General features: G+C 37.5%; 2 pseudogenes; one reads left to right on the top strand and one right to left on the bottom strand.

Annotated features, from left to right (window-relative positions):
• On the top strand, positions 4,644-6,518 carry PPATP1 (phosphoribosyl pyrophosphate amidotransferase pseudogene 1; annotated as a pseudogene).
• LOC285232 (phosphoribosyl pyrophosphate amidotransferase pseudogene) lies at positions 4,644-8,310 on the bottom strand (annotated as a pseudogene).

Genomic DNA, 21,477 nt, shown 5'->3' with positions numbered 1-21,477 from the left:
GTTGGAGCCCCCACACAGAGTCCCTACTGGGGCACCAACTAGTGGAACTGTGAGAAGAGGCCACCATCCTCCAGACCCCAGAATGATAGATACACTGAGAACTTGCACTGTTCACCTGGAAAAGCCACAGACAATGCAAGCCCATGAAAGCAGCCAGGAGGGAGGCTGTACCCTGCAAAGCCACAGGGGTGGAGCTACCCAAGACCACTGGAACCCAGCTCTTGCATCAGCATGACCTGGATATGAGACATGGAATGAATGGAGATCATTTTGGAGCTTTAAGATCTGACTGCCCTGCTGGAGTTTGGACTTGGATGGGGCCTGTGGCCCCTTTGTTTTGGCCAATTTCTCCCATTTTGAATGGCTGTATTTACCCATCACCTGTACCCCCATTGTATCTAGGAAGTAACTAACTTGCATTTGATTTCGCAGGCTCATAGGCCAAAGGGACTTGTCTTGTCTCACATGAGACGTTAGACTGTGGACTTTTGAGTTAATGCTGAAATGAGTTAAGACGTTGGGAAGGCATGATATTGGTTTTGAAATGTGAGGACATGAGATTTTGGAGTGGCGAAGGGTGGAATGTTATGGTTTGGCTTTGTGTCCCCACACAAATCTCATCTTGAATTGTAACTCCCACAATTCCCATGTGTCTTGGGAGGAACCTGGTGGGAGGTGATTGAATTATGGGAGCAGGTCTTTCCTGTGCTGTTCTTGTGGTAGTGAATGAGTCTCATGAGATCTGATGATTTAAAAAAAAAAAAAATGGGAGTTTGTCTGCACAAGCTCTCTTTGCCTGCCGCCATCCGTGTAATATGCAACTTTCTCCTCCTTGACTTCTCCTCCTTGACTTCTGCCATGATAGTGAGGCTTCCCTAGCCATGTGGAACTGTGACTTTTCCATTAAGCCTCTTTCTTTGTAAATTGCCCAGTCTCGGGTATGTCTTTTTCAGCAGAGTGAAAACAGATGAATATAGCCACTATGTAGGGTTGCAGAGAAAATATAAGACTTCCAGTTATGTTTGAATTCCAGATACACAATGCACTTTTAAAAATGTAGGTATTTCTCCCAAGTAATAGGTGTATTTTCATTTGTTTATTCTGGCAACCATAGATTAGAGCACAATGAGTAACAGGAAATGGAATAATAGAAAAGAGAAGGCAATAACTGGGTCTCAGAAAGTCTTGGAAAATTATATTATTATTATTTTTTCAATGTGTAAGAAATTAGGAGGTGATTCAAGGCCTTTAAGCAAAGACTAATCTAATTTCTATTTTAAAAATAATAATTTTGTTTGTAGAGTGGAAATAAAGAAATCCAGTGTTAAAAACTCTGAGTAAAAATGGAAGAATAAACATATAATAGTAAATTTTGATTTATTTATAAAATTCAGAAAATTATGAAAAACTGTAGAGGAGATAACAAGCAACAAAATTTTAAAAACTGGGAAGCAGTTGAAAAAGTGAAAACTGACTAACCAAAAAGAAGAATGCTGAATCCTAAAGCAGCAGTTTAGATAGGTTAGGAATTGAACAGATTCATACGACAGTTTCTCAGGGTCTCAGGAATCAGGCTTTCTAGGTTCCATGGAAGTAGGAATAAAGGAGGAGAACCTAAATATACCTTCCCATAAGAGAAGAAGGATAGAAGTTTATATATTCTGGAGAAATAAACCCAAAATCTCTGTACAAAAAAAAAATTCATGCACAGTTGCAAATATGAATGGAGGTGGTAAAGTCTATACAAAAAAGAAAGTAGTAAAACTAATGAAAGCAGATTAGATATTGAAAATCTCAGCTTTTTTTTTTTCAACTTGGGTTTTAGTATTCTGTTAGGCTGCTTCTAGCTAAGCACTGAGCATGGGAAATTGTCCTTGGGCAATATGATAAGACCCAAAGTAAGGACCTAAAAATAGTGCTGTGGGATGACCCAACAGTATGGTGCAGATTTCTCTACTGAACCTACATTGACAAAGTCTAACCTGTACGCTCTCAGACTTTCCTTTCAATTTTAATCTCCATTAGCAGTAAATAAAGAAATATCAGGTATCCGAGGAAAATCTCTTTACTTAAAAAAAGTCCAAAACAAAGAAATTTAAAAAGCAAACTGAAGAAAATAAAACTGTGTAGAAAAAAATAAAACAATGAAAGCTATGATAAAGAACTTGAGAGATAAAAAGATGGAGAAACATGAAACAGGAAGAAGATACTACTAAAGAAAAAGATTAAGATGAATATTCAGAATACAAAAACAAAAAGTTGTAGTGTCATTAAAAATAAAAACATAGAAGAAATAAAAAACAAAATACTAGGCTTGAAAGTTAGAATAGGGTATATATTTCAGATAGTAGAGCAAAAATACAAAGTGGGACTATATTCCAGACAATAGAGCAAAAACGTGAAATTCAGAGAGAACATAAGAAAATTTGATGATGGGCCCACAAGAGCCAATATCTAAATAACAGGCATTTTAGCTAGAGAGAATAGGAGACATGGAGGAAGGAAACCATTAATCGAAGAATTTAAGGGGATTCCAAAGACAGAGAAACATAAATTTACAGATTAAAAAGGTCCACCACATGCCCCCAAAGTACCACAGCATGAAATTTTAGAGGGCCAAAATTAAGAACCAACAAACTTGCAGAAAGAAATAGAAAGCAATAGCAGACAATGGTACATTGCCTTCTAATCCTAAAAGACAACCGTTTTCAACCTAGAATACTATAGTCAGACACTGGCAATAAATTGCTAAGGTAGAACCCAAAATACTGTGACATGCAAGTTACAAAAACTCATGTCCTAGATGAAGTTCCTAAAGAGGCTGCTGCAGGAGATACACTACTAAAACAAAGAAATGAACCATGGAATTGTTCATTATAAATAGAAAGTTATGGAATATAGAAAACAAGACAAAAAGAGAAAAGTGAAAGAAATGCCCAGGAGGGCTTAGAAGGGAGAAGCAAGCCAGTCATGGAAGTCAACCAGACCAGAACAAGTCAATAGGCTGTGGGAGAGGTTTTTCAAAATGCAGAAACTGAAAGAATATCTGATGTATCCGACAACTGGACATTTAGACAACTGGCAAAGAATTTGTGATAAATGCAAAAGTAAGCATACTAAAAGAAAAAATTCTAGACAATTAGAGAAAATCTAGGGAATACAAAATGTGCAGAAAATTAATGTTCCATTCTGAATCAAGAAATAACAATGTTATTTATTTGTGGAGCTGTAGAGGTAAATGCCAAAATGATTAACTTAACTAATAGAATTGAAAATGGTTAACTTGGAGCTGGAAGATGAGAATGTCAGTGTACTCTGGGTGTGTAGCAAGCCTTGAACAAACCTTGTAGAACTATTTGACTTTTTAATCCATGTAGAATTCATGCATGCATGTAGAACTCTGATAAAAAAATAATAAAATACATTTAAAAACCAACCTATGGATATTTAAATCATCCAGATAAGAAATCCTAATAACTTGGACTAAGGTAATGAGAGCAGAGATAGTGGAGAATGCATGGATTTGATATAGAGGATGAGGAATAATGAGTTGTTTGTTAAGGGTAGCTTTTAGGTTTGTTCATGAGCAACAATGAAATAAATAACATTAGAGTAAGAAAAACAGAAAGAAGTATATGAGTTTTCTTTCATAAATGCTTAGCTAGAAATAACATGGATAAATTGAGTAATAACTCTGTAAAACATTCTGAAACTTAAAGGAAAATCTAGGCTGGCAAAAAAAGCAGAAGTCCTGAGCACTGATGTAACTCATTAATTATGACATCAGCATTTGGAATGATGCACATGTAGAGTCAATAGAAAAAAATAGCAAATCAACAGTCTTTCCATTAGCTGCTTACAAATATATGTATAGTCTCCTTCCATTCTGTCCCTTCCATGCACATTCTTCCTCCTCTTTCTAAACCTTTGGCCTCTTCTCCAGGGTCTAGTTGTTTATGGTCCTCAAAGTCATAAAAATGGTAATTCTTGGCAACTCATGATACAATCTTACTGTCCACGCTACAAGAGGACATTCCAGTGTTTAAACTTCAGCTTGGAGAGTAAGTCAATAGCATTTACTCATCACCTTGATGACCTTGATGCATTATGGGTTTAATAAAGGATATTTTCGGCCGGGCGTGGTGGCTCACGCCTGTAATCCCAGCACTTTGGGAGGCCAGGGCGGGCAGATCACGAAGTCAGGAGATCGAGACCATCCTGGCTAACACTGTGAAACCCCGTCTCTACTAAAAATACAAAAAAAAAAAAAAAATTAGCTGGGCGTGGTGGCGGGCGCCTGTAGTTCCAGCTACTCGGGAGGCTGAGGCAGAAGAATGATGCTAACCCGGGAGGCGGAGCTTGCAGTGAGCCGGCATGGTGCCACTGCACTCCAGCCTGGGCGACACGGGGAGACTCCATCTCAAAATAAATAAATAAATAAATAAATAAATAAATAAATAAATAAATAAATAAAAAGTATATTTTCCCTTCTACTCAATTATACTAGACTCCCTTCCCACCACTAGCAAGAATATAAAGAAAAATACTTGTGGGATGGGATAATGGGGACTACCTTTCTGTTAAATGACACTAAAGGCTGCAAGTTAACCTAGGGTGAAAATTTACATTAAGAACAAAAGAGGGGAGCCAGCCTCGGGAAGGAAGCGCCTGTCGCGAGCGCGAGCTTCTGAGCTCGATGGGCCGAGCTGGCAGCTGGTTGGTGCTTACACCTTGGCCGCAGCGGCAGGTCCCTCCACGTGCTTTCGGCGGCGACCTGGAGCTGGAGGAGTCGGGGATCCGAGAGGAATGTGGCGTGTTCCGGTGCATCGCCTCAGGAGAGTGGCCCACGCAGCTGGATGTGCCGCATGTGATCACTCTGGGACGCCGCAGCGCCGGGGTCAGGAGAGTGCTGGTACTCTGACTAGTGACGGGAGTTCAGCGCCAACATTCAAATCACACAAGGGAATGGGTCTTGTAAATCACGTCTTTACTGAAGACAATTTGAAAAAATGACATGTTTCAAATCTTGGAATTGGACACACAAGGTATGCCACCACAGGAAAATGTGAACTAGAAAATTGTCAGCCCTTTGTTGCTGAAACACTTTATGGGAAGATAGCTGTGGCACATAATGGCCAATTGGCAAATGCTGCTCGATTAAGGAAAAAGCTTCTGCGTCATGGTATTGATCTGTCCACAAGTTCTGATAGTGAAGTGATTACCCAGTTACTGGCGTATACCCCTCCTCAGGAACAAGATGACACCCCAGACTGGGTAGCCAGGATTAAAAACTTGATGAAGGAAACACCCACAGCATACTCCCTGCTTAAAATGCCCAGAGACGTTATTTACGCAGTATGAGATCATTATGGAAATCGTCCCTTATGCATTGATCGTCTTATTCCAGCGTCTGATATAAATGACAAAGAGAAAAAAACATCGGAAACAGAAGGACGGGTGGTGTCTTCAGAATCTTGTAGCTTCTTATCTATTGGTGCAAGATATTACCGTGAAGTCTTGCCTGGAGAAATTGTGGAAATATCCAGACGTAATGTCCGAACTCTTGATATTATATCAAGGTCTGAAGGAAACCCTATGGCTTTTTGTATCTTTGAATATGTTTATTTTGCAAGACCAGACAGTATGTTTGAAGACCAAATGGTTTATACAATAAAATACCGTCGTGGCCAGCAGCTAGCTATTGAAGCACCTATGGATGCAGATTTGGTTAGCTCTGTTCCAGAATCTGCTACGCCTGCTGCTCTTGCTCATGCAGGGAAGTGTGGACTTCCATATGTGGAGGTGCTGTGTAAAACCTGATATGTAGGGAGAACCTTCATTCAGCCAAACATGAGGTTAAGACAACTTGGTGTTGCAAAAAAATTTGGAGTATTGTCAGACAACTTTAAAGGCAAAAGAATTGTTCTTGTAGATGACTCAATTGTGAGAGGCAATACCATCTCAACTATCATAAAATTGCTCAAAGAATCTGGTGCAAAAGAGGAACACATTCCAGTAGCTTCACCACCAATTAAATATCCATGCTTCATGGGAATAAACATTCCTACAAAAGAAGAGCTCATTGCCAATAAACCAGAATTTGATCACCTTGCAGAATATCTAGGAGCAAACAGTGTTGTGTATCTGTCAGTAGAAGGACTGGTTTCATCTGTGCAAGAAGGGATACAGTTTAAAAAACAGAAAGAGAAAAAGCACGATATTATGATCCAAGAAAATGGAAATGGTCTGGAATGTTTTGAAAAGAGTGGTCATTGTACAGCTTGTCTCACTGGAAAATATCCTGTAGAATTAGAATGGTAGCTGGTAGGGTTGGATGTGTGTAGTTTCAAGATAGAAAGGTGGTCAAGAAGTTATAGTGGTCACACCTCATCTATTTACTGTTACTCAGTTGGTACAATGTAAAATGCCATGCTTATGTTTACCTTTATAAGTTTTGAGATTTTTTTTTTCTGAAAAGGATACCAAAGTGGGATAACCAACCAAACATTTCTAATTGCATATAATACAACAATATGTGGTGTTCTTTTTTTTACACAAGCATTGGCTAGCCTTTTTAACCTGGTCAGAGAAGGCAGGTGGTCACTGACATTTGCCATGTCCATGCTTTAAAGGGTTTGCAAGAAGTTAGGGTTAAGGAGAGGTGATGCCAACAAGACAGGTGAGTTAAATGTAACATTTCACACAAAGTTTGAATAGAATACATTATACCTCATAGGTGTCTAGCTTGTAAAGTTCTGGCTGTAGTTATGACCTTGGCTTCCCTGTCTAACTGTAGACAAATCTTTAAAAACAAAAAACACAAAATATAATCTGTGGTGCCTCAGTTTCCCCACATGTGCAATGGGATACTTATTAGACTAAATAATTAATAAGAATGTGAATAAGTGTCATACTTTTGTGATTTGAGTCATCATTTCACTTCTGATTTTAAGACAGCTCATGATTGTTAGCTTTCGGAAAGCTAATGATTATTAACTTTTTGAAATTAGTTTACAATTAAGATTTCATTATGATGGAAGGAGATATAATTGGCAGATCTTTGCCATCTCTCTTTGAGATGTCCTAAAAAGGGTTGTAAAAATCTGTGAAAAAGTTTTTCCTACATTTGATTAGAAAATGTGATCCACAGTATTTAGCGCCCTGATACTATAAGCTCAGCAAGTAACCTGGTACGTTTGAAATAAAAACCAAATTTTTAGAATAAAACAATCCCTTTATCCTTAATTTAATTAATTATCATATAGTTTTTTAATGAAGGGCTTGATCACTTGCAAGCATATATACATGTAGATGTACATATACATGTACACATACACATAAATATTATTGCAATTAAGTGATCAAGTACAGACACAATAGGGGCCAGTTTTGTTTAAGGATCAAAGAGTCAACCACTTTGGGGAGTTAGTATCAACTTATAATCCAAGTCCAAGTATCATCTTATAATCGCTTTTTTCTACTTTATTAAGATCTAATGAATTTGATTTCTTTTTTGAAGTTTTTTCTTGTAACATCTGAGATTTAGAAGTTTAAGATGACCCCAAACCTTTATGTAAGAATTTTTAAACATAAAAGTGTTTGTTTCTGTTATGTTACCATAATTTGATGTATATAGTGTCCAGATCCATTTAGAAATTTAATATTAATAACTGAAACTGCTTGTCTTCCTTTGGTATATAGTCTCACATATTATATTATAGCAGACCAAGATAAAATTTTGAAAGCTCTTTAAGCCCACATGCAGCAGTGGGTCAGACAACCCTGTGGCAGTGACACGGGCAAATTGGCATTTGAATAAAGCCCTGGGACCACTTCAACATGTGTAGCCTCTTGTCTTAAATGTATTCCCCATGGCAGCATGGAGGAGGTAAGACCTGTGGGTCAATTTTGAACTGGACTTACTTTGATTTTTAAAACAAGAAACTCAGGGAAAGTACTAAACCAAAATCTCTGATTTTACTTTGCGTTTTCTGTAGTTTTTGTTTTACTGAGATGCTTTTGTAAAGGAAAATAATACTGTGACAGTTCAGTAATTCTACAGATTTCTTAATATTTCTCCATCATGGCCTTTTACTTCACAATTTTCTGAAGTCTGAATTCAATTTTTTTTTACCAATTTAATCTCAAATGTTGTTTAACTGCTTTAAATTTATATACGTAGAGTATTATAAACTGCAGAGATGAAAAATGTGTTTTCAAGGGATTTATATTGTGAACTGAAGTAAGCCTACTTTTTGTGACTTATTTGTGATGTCTTGTTGATAAATATGTGTAATAAGTATGTTTAAAAAAAAGAACAAAAGAGGTTATAAAAACAAGGCCTATAAAACTACATTTAAATTTTGGATAGAGGAGAAGCAGAAAAATTGTGAAATAGTGGCCAAAGAAAGAGAGAAGGAATGCTGTGAAGATTTAGTGTTACTGAAGCCAAAGTAAGAGAGAGTTTCTAAATGGAGAAATCAACTATTTGGAAAGTGATGGGAGGCTGTTTGTAAAGTGAATCACTAAGAAGGGAAGTTAGATTTGGCAAAATTGTGTTAGTTGATCATTTTATGACACAGGTTAATTGGAATAATACAAGCATTGGTGAGCTCGTAGCATTGTTTTGATGGTATCTCTGTCTTCTCTTCTCGCTCTCTCTTTAGACATTTTGAAGTCTTGCATAATAATTAGTCAAGGCTCAGCATATCCAGGGGTCATAGTTAGTATTGAGTTTAAAATCAAACGTATTAACCCCTACATTTGAGTTTTCCCCTTTTGTAATTGAAGATAAATAGCTTAAACTGTGTCTTCTTTTTAAACATACAGACATATAGACACACAAACTGGATGGCCAGTAACTGAATAAAATATTTTTTAAATAAACGAAAAGCTGTGTTTTTCTATATTTAACCAAATAAGTTTGCTTCATTTACATCTTGCTAATGAAATGCTTGCTTTGCTGTGTGGCACTAACTATAACACAGAAAATACAATTTTAGAGCAATATATTTTGGTATAAGAAACAAAATCGAACATTACTTAAAATCATAGTATCTTACTATTTATTAAGCCCTTACTGAATGTCCATTAATTACTCTTATTAAGCCCTTACTATTTATTAAGCCCTTACTTAATGTCCATTAATTGTGAAAACACGTAAGGCCAAAAATCTATCCTGAATTCAGAAGACCCTTGACTTTCAATTGTCTAATTGTATATGTATAGTAATCCTACAAGTACAAAATAAAAACTTATTGATGAATAGAATTGTAGGGAAATTTAGTGGAATTGTTTTTGAATTTGGAAAGGCTATTAATAACATTTTTTGTTTTTAAACTGACAATGGCAAACTCATTCCTGTTAGGGCCTGGAAACATTCAGGTCACATTGCTTTCGGAATGATTTGAGTTCTTTCTATTTGAATAGTCTTGGTGTGAGTTAGAAGTCTTTAGTTTCCTTCTGTGTACTTTAGAGGGATGCTTAGCAACCTTGTGGTTGTAATATTTCTGAATCTCTTGGATCACTTTCAGTAAATATCAGTTCAAACAACACTGGACTTGAGAAGGTTGATTTACATATTTGCCTTTAGAATGAGACTAACACACTCCTTTCTGGGCTCAGGAAAGTCGTCTGAACTCCTTCTCTCTCTTCCCTACCATATTTCCTCTGGCAAACTCTGGGATCCTGGGGCAAAGATAAGCAGCCCTAAAGTGTCATTCTTTCATATCCTAAACTTTTTCAACGGCCTTGTATACTATTCTATTTGGAGCCTCCCTGGAGATGTTTTATCCAGTCCTTTCAGTTAATTCAGAAGGGCCAAGAAGCCTATGCAGGGTCCTCACTTGACCACTGCCAATTCAGGCTTTACCATTTCAGCATAAACTGAACAAAATGGCCTTAGAAAAGAGAGAGAGAGAGAGAGAGATACGACCAAAATTGTGTTTCTGACCAAAAACATGGAGAGTGGGTAATTTTCTTACTTACAGAGTATATGGAAAAAGACAAAGTTATAATGAGGTTAGGCCAGCTATAGTCATTGTGCTGATGCTTCTAGATCTTTATTTACATCTGCACTAAAGGGAAGGGATGGTAATAGAGCAGCAGAAGCAACATGAGATAATCTAAAGAATATAAAATCAGCCCAGATCTTCCACAACTTTGGTGTGCCCTTGGATAAATCACTTCACTGGTATGAGTTTTCTTCATCAATAAAATGAGAAGGTCCTACTAAATCGCTCCAGCCAATCCATTCAGCTTTTATATTCAAATATTCATTTAAGTCTTAGAAGTAAGCTCTGAATATCTGTTTGGTGAGAATATTTCTCATAATAATTATGATGGCTCATCTATGTAAGCTTAAAAATATAGATTTTCAAAAACTATGGTGTTTCAATACAGCATTATACTCTTGATCTCAAATATTTCCTAATTGAATGTCTGTATAGATAGGCAGCAAGATAGGATATTTGATTTTACCTTCTTGAATATAATAGTTTAAATTACTTGAAGCATATCTAATATTAAAGGACACTTACTTGCCACCCCCACATCACCATGCCATTCATCTTTCTGGCAAATGTCAATGAATTTTAATAGTAGGAGGTAAAGAAAGATAGTCTTTTTTTTTTAAATGTTAAGGGTTTAGGATGAAACAAATAAATGTTTAAGTAAAAAATGCATTTTTTAACTGTGGCAACTATATATGCGAAGCATAGGAAATTTTTTTTAGTGAAACACAGAATGGATGAATTTCTCATTTGCAATATGCTAATGTTATGTAAGACACATCCAAATAGTTATCTAGCAAAAATGTGTACGCTGTGATTTTTGTAAGTTTAAATTAACAAAATGCATTAAATTGGTTTCATAAAATCTATCCAGATATGTATATGTTCAGCCTGCATATTAATGCAGCATTCTTTCTTCAGGCACGTAAAAAGATGATGGGCTGTAGCTATTGAAATGTGTTACATTTGCTCCATAACATTCTCTGCTAAAATGCTGTTGTCTTGAGAGCTCTCATGCTGTGTTGTTAATAACAGTAGGATCTTAAATGAAGCCATTACCTCCGCTCTATAAATCACAATTGTTTTTAATCAAAGAACATTAAAATGAGCTAGTTGCCACTGAGGGATTATTCAGTTTAAAAGAAGCAACTTTACACAGATTTAGAAGAAACATACGTAGGCACTTTAAGGACTCATTGCTTTTTGTAGGTAAAGATTTGGATCATAAGTCATGTTGGAGAAAAGTAACTCTACGATTCAACATTTATAGAAGAGGAGAGTACACAATCTGGGGCAAAATATAAGTCCTACCACTGCACTTCTACCATGAGCCTGTGCTTTACAAAGTCCTGTTCTGTAGCCCAGAATCCTGGGAGCACATGTGAAATAAGAGTTCTGGGGACAGAAATAATATTGCCACATTACTAACCCTACCTTTGGAGATTTGCAGTAGTTGTTAAACTTTTCAACTACCTTTTTTAGAAAAGATAAACTCATGTTCCATAAACTCTAATATGATAGTAATTGTATGTTTAATGTCCATTAATTGTGAAAACACGTAAGGCCAAAAATCTATCCTGAATTCAGAAACTCTTTAAAAAGGTATCTTAAATCAAAATAGCATTTACACACTCAAATATTATAAAATACATGAGATTTATGTGTGACAAATAGTTTATTTTATCTGTAGGCATTTCCTGGTGCATTTATGGATTTGCAGGTATCAGGGATGCATAGCCCTCAGGTTCCTTAAGCCAGTAATTCCCATGCTTTCTACATGGTAATAGATACAATGGATGAGTTCCTATTTGCTCTATGCTATGTAACATTAGACATATCAAATATGTTTTAGATGATTCATTCTAGAAGTGGTTAATGATTACATCAATGATAAAAATAGCTATTTAAATACTTCACTAATATTGCGGGCTACACACAATTTTTAGATGAGTAGCTGTAATTCTATCCCTTTTCCCTGGCTGAAGAAAGCTTCTAATAATGCAGCATAATGAAGCTGGTGTATTCTTTAGCATCTTTAATTTGCTGTAATTTTAGGGATTAATCATACATTTTGTCTTTTTTTAATTTTGAAACACAACTTGAAATATTTCACAAATGTAGCTATATTCAATTTAAAAACCACTAATAAATAACAGGTTTGCTTTTGATGATATAGATATCTACACATTCAGCTGCATGGAACCTGGGCCAAGTTGCACCCCATATTTCCTACGATAGCCCTGAATCTGATGAAATTCTCTTAAGCAAAATGTAGATGATTCTTTCTAACTACATGGATAAAATTCTAATATTCAGCTAAGATGCAAAAGATTCAGTTACATCTGATTGCCCTAAGTTAAACACATTGGCACGAACTGCAAAGATATGCTCATTGATCAGCTATTGCTCAGAGGGCATTTAGGAAAAGACATATGCTCATGGAGTGCCAGTTCAATTCTCAGCATGCTGCCATAATTACATGCTTCAGTGTGTGCGCTTAATGACAAGAAGAAGAAAACCAGAACTGCCTCAGAGAACACAAGGGTACTGGCTCAACAATCCCCACTTTCTTAGGTGCTAAAGTTTTGATCCTTTTCAGAAGAAAATGGTGCCTTTCAAAAAGATGTTCTCATAAATGAAATCCCTCTGTCATATCTTACAATAGTCTTTATTGGTTAAAAGTCCATATCTATTTATTTTCATAACATATTTCAGCAAGTTATTTGCCTACTTAATTTAGGGCCTCAGGATTCTATGTTTACAGGTGACTGGATAATATCATCTTCTGCATGGGATCAATAATGATGAGGCCATCAAAGGAAAGGGGTGAAGATTAAACTGTGAGATATGTAGAGTCTGTCACTGGTAACACAGTCCCTCCCATCAATTCCCAGTGTTTGACTGCTTAACATGTTATGGAAATGTTATTACTCATAGAAATTCGGGTTTTCTAAGCCTTGAGGTCATCTATCTTTTGTTTCATGAATGATCTTTGTGAAACAAGAGAAATTCATCCTCTTTTTTGACATTGAGGTAAATTTACTGTCAAGCTCCTTACAGCCTAGCTTCAGATCCCATCTCTTGCATGCCTCCTTTTGAAGTCTTATACCTAATTTTCATCCATAATTGTGCAGTGTTGTTTACTGTAAGGAGAATGGCAGGATCTACAAAACCCAAATCAGACCCCACTCATACAGTTTAGTATGGCAGCTGTCCCAAAGATGCTGCCCTTGAACAGCGCCAAAGCCTTAAGATAAAAAGTTGCAATTATCAAGACTGAATTTCAGGTACGTGGCAATGAGTAGCAAAAAACCTTTCCTCTGTCTGAAATCAAGTTTTCCTGCCACTATATATTGATATTTCAGTGGAAGTAATTTGCATGGGAGTCTTCTGAGTTTCTCGTATTTTCTGTGGCATGTCCAGACTTCTTATATTTGCACAAAATTGGCAAACAGCAACAATAGCAATGGTGACAAAAATAATTAGACCAGGGTGTCCAAGGGAGACAATACGGTCATGAGTTCTGTTTCTGATTGGGCCAGTAAAGCCCCTTTCTCATCCCTCTTTTCCACTTATCACTAGAGATAGAAACTAAAAACAATGGCTTCAGGCTGCTAAAAGCCTAAAACAAAACAAAACAGAACAACAACAACAAAATAAGGCAGGTTAGACCTCATTGACCACTGAATGAATGCCAGGATCTTTGCTAAATTGTGGCTTCCACTGCAAAATTTAAGTAAACTTACTGAAGATGTTATCCAAAGTCAGATATAAATCAGAATGTAAAGAAGAATTCAGGTTTGGAAGGTAGCTTTCAAGTTTAAAAAAATGTAAAAATACAGATTTTTTTTAATATTGAAAAAATAGTCAATATTGTGAGGCAAATGAAAAAATAACATTTTAAATAACGAAAATATTATATTTTAATTCCCTACATTTCACAAAAAGAGCAACAAGACCTTTAAATTGGAAGTCATCTTGGGCCACCATTTTCAGTTTCTCATCCACTGCAAAAATCCTCCTTACCATCTTAACAGAAAGCCTATTTTACTTCACTTACATTGCTGTGAATGTCATTGTTTTCAGCCACAGTCGGCCTTAGTGCCAAATGCTACTTTGCGTCCCATTTTTGTATGACTTGCAAACTAAGAATAGATTTTACATTTTTAAATGGTTTTTAAAAATTAACAAAAGTAGAGTACGTCATAATACATGACAATCATATGAAACTCATTTTTTAGTTTCTATAAATAAAGTTTTATTGGGGCACAGCCATGGTTATTATTTATGTATTGGTGATGGCTGCTTTCATGCTACAATGGCAGAGATGAGTAGTTTCAAGAGACAGAAAGGCCCACAGGCCTGAAATATTTACTGTCTGGCCCTTTATAGAAGTTTACTGATTACTCAAGAACCACACAATATAAATTTCTTTCTTTTCTCCTTAAGAGAATGGCTAGTAGTTTAGGTTCTTCTCTGTCTCTCTTTCTCTTTCTTTTTAAATTGGTGATTATCTTTATTTTGCCTTCACATTTTTTTCTTAATTGGGATAATTATAGATTCACAAGCAGTTGTAAGAAATAATCAGACATTACATCTACATTTTGCCTAGTTTCCATAAATAACATTTTGCAAAACTATAGTAGGATAACCAAGATATTGACAGTGATCTTATCAATCTTACTCAGATTTCCTGTTTTACTTGTACTCATCTGTATATATGTGCATGTTTGTGTGTGCGCATGCGTATAAGCTTTTTTTTTTTTTTTTTTTTTTGAGACGGAGTTTCACTCTTGTCACCCAGGCTGGAGTGCAATGGCACAATCTCGGCTCACTGCAACCTGCAACCTCCACCTCCCGGGATCTAGCAATTCTCCTACCTCAGCCTCCCAAGTAGCTTGGATTACAGACATGTGCCACCACAGCCGGCTAATTTTTGTATTTTTAGTAGAGATGGGGTTTCACCATGTTAGTCAGACAGGTCTTGGACTCCTGACCTCACGTGATCTGCCCGCCTCGGCCTCCCAAAGGCCTGAGATTACATATGTGAGCCACCGTGCCTGGTTGTTTATAAGTTCTCTACAGATTTTATCACTTGTGTACATTTGTGTATCTTCCACCATGCTAAAGATATGAAACAGATTTCCCTCGTTCATTCTTAAATCCTTTCATACTTTATCATTCTCATCAGACGTATTTTTAACACTTTGGTCCACCTTTTGTTAACTTCTGATAGCCTTGCAGCTTAATGATATCTCATTTGAAGTGTCTATTTCTACTCCCAGTTATGTTGTGTACAGGGAGTTGCAAAAACTCAGAAGATAATGAAGGACTTTAAAGTAAGATAAGAAACATAACTCTGGCAACCTTAGAAAGTAGTACGGTCTTATTAAGTAACAAACAATTATGATGTGTTAAAGCAACATTGAAAAGTAATGCAATAGCCAAATTAAAATCTGCCTCTAATGCAGTAAAGGGCAGAATACAAGCAATCTGAATCAGTAATAAAGTATAAAAAATTATTAAACTCTCTGAAATTCAGAAGGACGAATACTGACACAATAAAAAAAAAGAAGAGAGAGAAACAGGGATAGAAACAAGAAAGAGATGCTGTGAGAGAAAGTGCTAGGGATAGGGAAGGAGGAGGAAGAGGAAGGTGGGGCAAAGGTGTGGGAGAGGAAGAGAGAAGACAAGGAGGGAGGGAGAAAAAGGAAGAGAGAAAGGAAAGAAGGAAGGTAATTGTACCATAACCACGGTACAATGATCAAAATCAGGAAATTAGTATTTGTACTTACTGTTAACTAAATTCCACACATTATTCAGATTTCACCAGTTGTCCAATTAATTTTTTCTTTTGTTCCAGATTTGGATTCTGGCTCCAGCATTGCATTTTGATATTTGTTTTAGTCTCTTCCAGTTACAAACAGTTGTAACAGTCGGTCTTTTGTTGTTGTTGTTGTTGTTGTTTTGCAACTTTTTAGCACTTTTGAAGAGCATTGGTTAGGTGTTCTTTCTAACTCCAACAGGTAACTCTGTGAGGTCAATCAGAATGAACAGAGAAAAATATGTGCCTTGTTTTGATAAATATGAAAGTGAGACCCATCTAGTAGACAAAATATTGCATCACACAATAACCAAATGCCATTCTCTCTTTGTGTACGCGTATAGAAATATATATGTAGTACAAATATAATTTAAAATGTCAATGAAATATTGTCTTCTTTGAATTTTCTCCTGTAACAAAAAATTGTAATAGCCAGTGTTAAAAGCCAACATTAGCAACCTTATTAAACCAAGTACACATCCAGAAAACTATAACACTTGTTTTGAAAATATGAATCCCAATTTAAAGCAACATAAATCCAGTATTTACTTATCTGTGTGTGCTCCTAATGTCTTCCAGGTAATGCCTAATCAGTTTTGGAAATTAAACTGAGTAGGGCCCTGGCAGTTAAACTGTATCATTTGACAACTTTGTATCACCCTGTGGCAAATATAATCTTCCTGCTGGTTGACCAGTGTCAAGCAATAGGGAAAACTACCAGGATAAGGCAACCTGCTTTTACTCCAGGTAACTAGCCTTCTGAATGAAATAGTACCTACTCATACATTTGTTTGGTAAGTGATTTGAATTCCTCTGTTGAAGGTGGGAAATAGAGCACGTTAATATTTTTACTAAGTGTGGAAGCTATATGAGAACCAATGTATGTTTCTGTCTTTTGAGTGGAACAGCTTTGGCTGAACAAGTGGTGAATCAGGGGAAGAGAACATTTAAGTCCACGAACACTGGACTCAATTTAACATTCAAAAACTTTTCAATAGTCACAGTACCTGAACTATGGACTAAGAGAAAGGAATCATGAAGCACAGACAAAAAGGCAAATGGAAGTGGAAGACACTCAAGTCAAAATTAGATGACTTAAAAAAAGAATTTTGTAAATAAAACTTCCCTTTCAGTTAAACTCTGAAGTGCAAAGTGCATCTTCTGTTTTCATTTACATCCATATTTACCAAAAGTAGTTTTCTATCATAAAATACAATATTTTTCCTTTCAGTGAAATCTTTAAAGTGTACACCGTTAGATATCTGTAGGCTCTTCTAGAATGCACAGCTGAAAAAACAAGATATTTAAACCCTCAAATGGTTTGGGTCCATTTCAAGGTTTTGTTCTTGGCCTTATTATGCAAAAAACAAAAAGTTGCCCTCGGCCTCTAAATTTGGGAATGACAATTTAAAATGTTTAAATACCGAAGTATTTATTTGGTGTAAATTATATATAGTCTTTATTCATTTTAAAAAGCATTTAATGTTTAGCAACTTTAATAAAGGACTAGAAATATTAATATATACATTGCTGAATATTCATAATATTTAGTTTCTTTTCCTATGAAAGTAAAATTTTGTCCTAAGACTGGACAATGCCTACAATTGCATCTTTAGGCACATAATTTTGTCAGAAAGTTGATAATTTTCAGTTTACTATTTCCCCATGTACTTAAAAAAATAATGTTTTGATATATTCAAGATGTATCATTTTACGAAGATAGTAAAAAAAGAAGATTTATGCATAAACATTCATATGGTAGTAATTTTTAAAATGATATTATCTTCTGTAACTATGTAAATCAAACCTGGCAGCTGATGCTTGGCAGTTGAAGAAGACCCACAGAATTATTCTTGCAAATTATGATGAGTAACTGAACCCAAAGCGACCCCTGGCACAACTGGATAACAAATTAGTCAAAGAAAGAATTACTAGCAATTATATTTTCTGATTGCCTACAAGCAGACAACAAAATTTTGTATAGTCTCATGTATGTCTATTTTCTTAGCTAGCTTCTTGGTCTGGCCCCTGAAAGCATCATAGACAAAAGAAACCGATCTATTTTTTTTTTGATAATCAGAATGTATGTTTGCCTTAAAATACCTCCCTACCCCCTCCCATTTTAGCATATGACTATAAGTTCTGTAATGTAGATGAGATTAACATGCAAAAATCAACGGTTTTAAACATACTACTATTAGAGTTATATATTAATAGAAAATAACTGCTAAATGAAGCTTTCTTGATAACATATTTTGATGGATTAAGGAGGAAATGAGTGAACTAAAATGAGAAGAGAGAAAAAGTTGATGAAAACATTGGAAAGATATGATGTCTAAAAACTAACTTCTTCTGCTTTGCAAATTGTCTTAACAACAGCCACAGCAGAAATTAGTTGTTTTGGACTCTGTCTTTGGCTTCTATGTCAATTGTGGTGTGGAAGAGGATAATACGGTAAAGATATATTTCCATTTGTCTTTCCCACCTGGATTTATTCTTTCTCTTTCTCCCCGCTCCTGCGGATAGACTGCTACGTTCACTCCTTCCAAAGGGAAGCAACAAAACAGAAACACAATGACCACAATAGCCACAACAACAATGAAACAATAATCAAAAAAAAAAAAGCTGGAATTTTATTGTGGCTTTGCTTTATAGATACTTAAGGCCATGAGGGAATGAAGAAGAGTTGAAATACAGATTAAAAATACATGAAAGGAAAATAACCACCTTTCCTACTAATCCTCTCAACCTGGGAGGGGGGGTATAGATGGAGAAGACAGAGGAATGATGGCAGTATTAAGGAATTAGCCTGGGTAGGCATTATAAGGCCAGAAGACAGACAATACCAAAGCCCTCTAGGCCTGTGCAGATACCTATGGAGAGTAAAAGTAGATTACCAGGAATTGAATAAGATGGTCCTCCCTAATGTATGGAGCTGCACCCAGTATTGCCTCCCTTCTGATGAACATAAGAGTAGGAGAGGGCCAGCCACCTACTCTTTTATTATGGATTTAGCCAATGCCTTCTTCAGCATCTCCTCTGCCTCAGGGAATCAAGGCCAATTTGCACTGGACCTTTACTTTCTTGCCCCATGGATACCACCCAGGGGAGTTACACGTTTTCCATCACATTGATGATATCATGCTAACTTCAGAGTCCAGCTTACAAACTGCAAGCCCCACCCAGCTGCCCCAACAGAGGATAGGTGGTCATCACAGACAAAGTCCAAGGTCCAGGCTCAGGGACAAATACTTGGGTGTCATCTGGTCAGGTAACAGCAAAGTCTTTCAGTCTGACATTATGGGTAAGGTTCAGGCCTACCCATGTCCTACCACACCAAAGCAGTTGCGAGTTTTCTCAGGTCTTTTATGGTATTGGCATCCTTGTATTCCCCATTTGGCCCAACTCCTTTGGCCCCCATAGCACTTAGTCAGGAAGTGGCCAATGGGATGGGTCAACAAAGGAGGATGAGGACTTTAAACAAGCTACAAGTCACAGTGAAATAGATAAAAGCCTTGAGTGTTCCAGTGCAGGGACAGCCTTGTGAATTAGGTATAGCCCAAGTCCCTGAGAGGTTTGAGTGGGGCCTGTGGCAAAGACGTAAATGGGTGAATTCAGGATTCTGGTCCCTACTGTGGAAGGGGGCTGAAGGTGGATTATGGTACCATGGAGCAAGAACTCTGAGCTGCATATTGTGCTTTGCAGCAGGTAGAGGACACTGTAGAGGGCGTCCTGGTGTTGGTGCATACCCAGTACTCCATGGCAGGTTGGCTCAAGAATGCTTTCCCCGAGACTGAGGTCTGGGAATGCTCAGACACAGACTGTGGCCAGAAGGCATGCAGGGCTGCAACGGAGCACATTGACTGGTAGCCTCTTGAATGCAAAGCTCCATGGGATGCTTGACACTGTCACCTATGTGACAACTGAAGGACAGTCTTTTATGGAGGCCACTAGACCTCTGTGGATTCCTTCCTTCATATAAGAGGGACTAGGTCCAATTCCTGACTCACCTTTGCCCTACCCTGGGACTCAAAGTAACCTACTATTGCCCTTGCCACAGGAGCGACCCACCACAGAGCCCATCATTACATGGTCCTGGAAGTGTCAAACCAGCCATGGTTTGTTTTTTCTGCTCCATAGGGAAAAGGCCTAGAACAGGACATACAGGTCACAGTTGTTTTGCACCCTACTTCCCCTCGTACTTCTAAGATGGTGGGTCCTGGTCCTCTCTTGTGCAGGGGGATGATCATTCTCTTGTTCTAGAACAATCATCCTCTTATTGTGGAACACTTTGGTGCCCCTGGTGTCTTACTCTGGCCTCCTGTAGTGCAGAGGGGGTCTAATCCATTTGGTTTCATAAACCAGTACAAGTCCTATGCCAGGGGTGGTGCTCTCAGAATGACACAACTTCCTATATCTTGACTGCTCCTGAGTGCCCTTTCTTATACCCACTAAACATCTCACCTTCCCCCCATAGACGGTGTACAGCAAACCTCTTTACCAACTGGGCACAGATGGTGGCCTTTCTCTAGAACAAAGTAGACTGTTGGGCCTGCAGAGAGCTTCCCCTCTCCTCCACCACAGGCCTGCCATGGCACATCCAGGATGAACTTCCAAGCGTTTGGAAGAGCTTTATGATTATCACTGTATTTGTTGTTGTAGTTTATATTGTTGCTGGCATTTACTCCTAGGCTCCTTTGCATACCTGGCCCCAGGGAAATCACGGACCACTGGCGTGATAAGAATGTGAGGGCCATTCAAGGGTATGCTGGAGTGGAGGGTAGGGTAAACAAACCTGAGAGCAAAAAGCTAAACATACCCTTAGGATGGCCCTGTATGGCAGACACACCGGAATGTGTGGAGTGGTCAACCCGGAGATTCATTCCTTGTATATGAGGAACAACTTAGCCCCTGTCTCATCCATTGGAACACAGGCCACCCAGAGGATTGAAGCCCTGAGTTTTGGGTTGGATGAAGGTTGCCAGGTGAGATCGTCAAAGGGAGGGTGTCAAGTAAAAATGCTATATAAACTGCAGGTTGTTGCCATTTTCCTGCCCAGCCCACCACTGTGGCCACTGGGCCCTGTGGTTATCTTGTCCAGCCCATCTCCACTGGATGGTATGTAAGGCGGATATCTCGTTCAGCCTGCTGCCACGATACCATTTCTGTACGTAAGGCGGTTCTCCTGTTCAGCCTGCTGCCATTGGACTGTCTACCCTGTATGTAACCCCCTAAAAAAAAAACCCATGACTCGTTTGCTGACTCTGCATCTCTTCTTCCACCTCTTGAACCTGGTACCTTCCCTATTGTGGTCAATAGGGATTCAGCACAACACCTGTCCCTAAGTACTTGGAATTACCTGAGTCTCCTAGAATTTAAACCCAGCCTCAGAAAAAGAAGCAGGAAGCCCAAATTAATTTAGGACAATTTTCTGCTACAATGGCAAAATGAGAGCTCAAAGTAAAATTAATTCGTGTCACAGAAAAAGAAAGAATGCTTCTCCCACAAGTTCTTCTACACTTACTGAGCTTCATACCTGCTATGAACACACACATGCAGCAAACACTCTGCAGTAAGAAAAGGCATCACGTTATTTGTCAGTGTGATAACATTTAGGCAAAGTTTGAAAGATGAATAAGAATA

Source organism: Homo sapiens, chromosome 3 (genome assembly GCF_000001405.40).
Source record: "Homo sapiens chromosome 3, GRCh38.p14 Primary Assembly".
Classification (NCBI taxonomy): domain Eukaryota; kingdom Metazoa; phylum Chordata; class Mammalia; order Primates; family Hominidae; genus Homo; species Homo sapiens.
The sequence above is the reverse complement of the archived record's forward strand: the minus strand, read 5'-3'. Positions and strand labels throughout refer to the sequence as shown.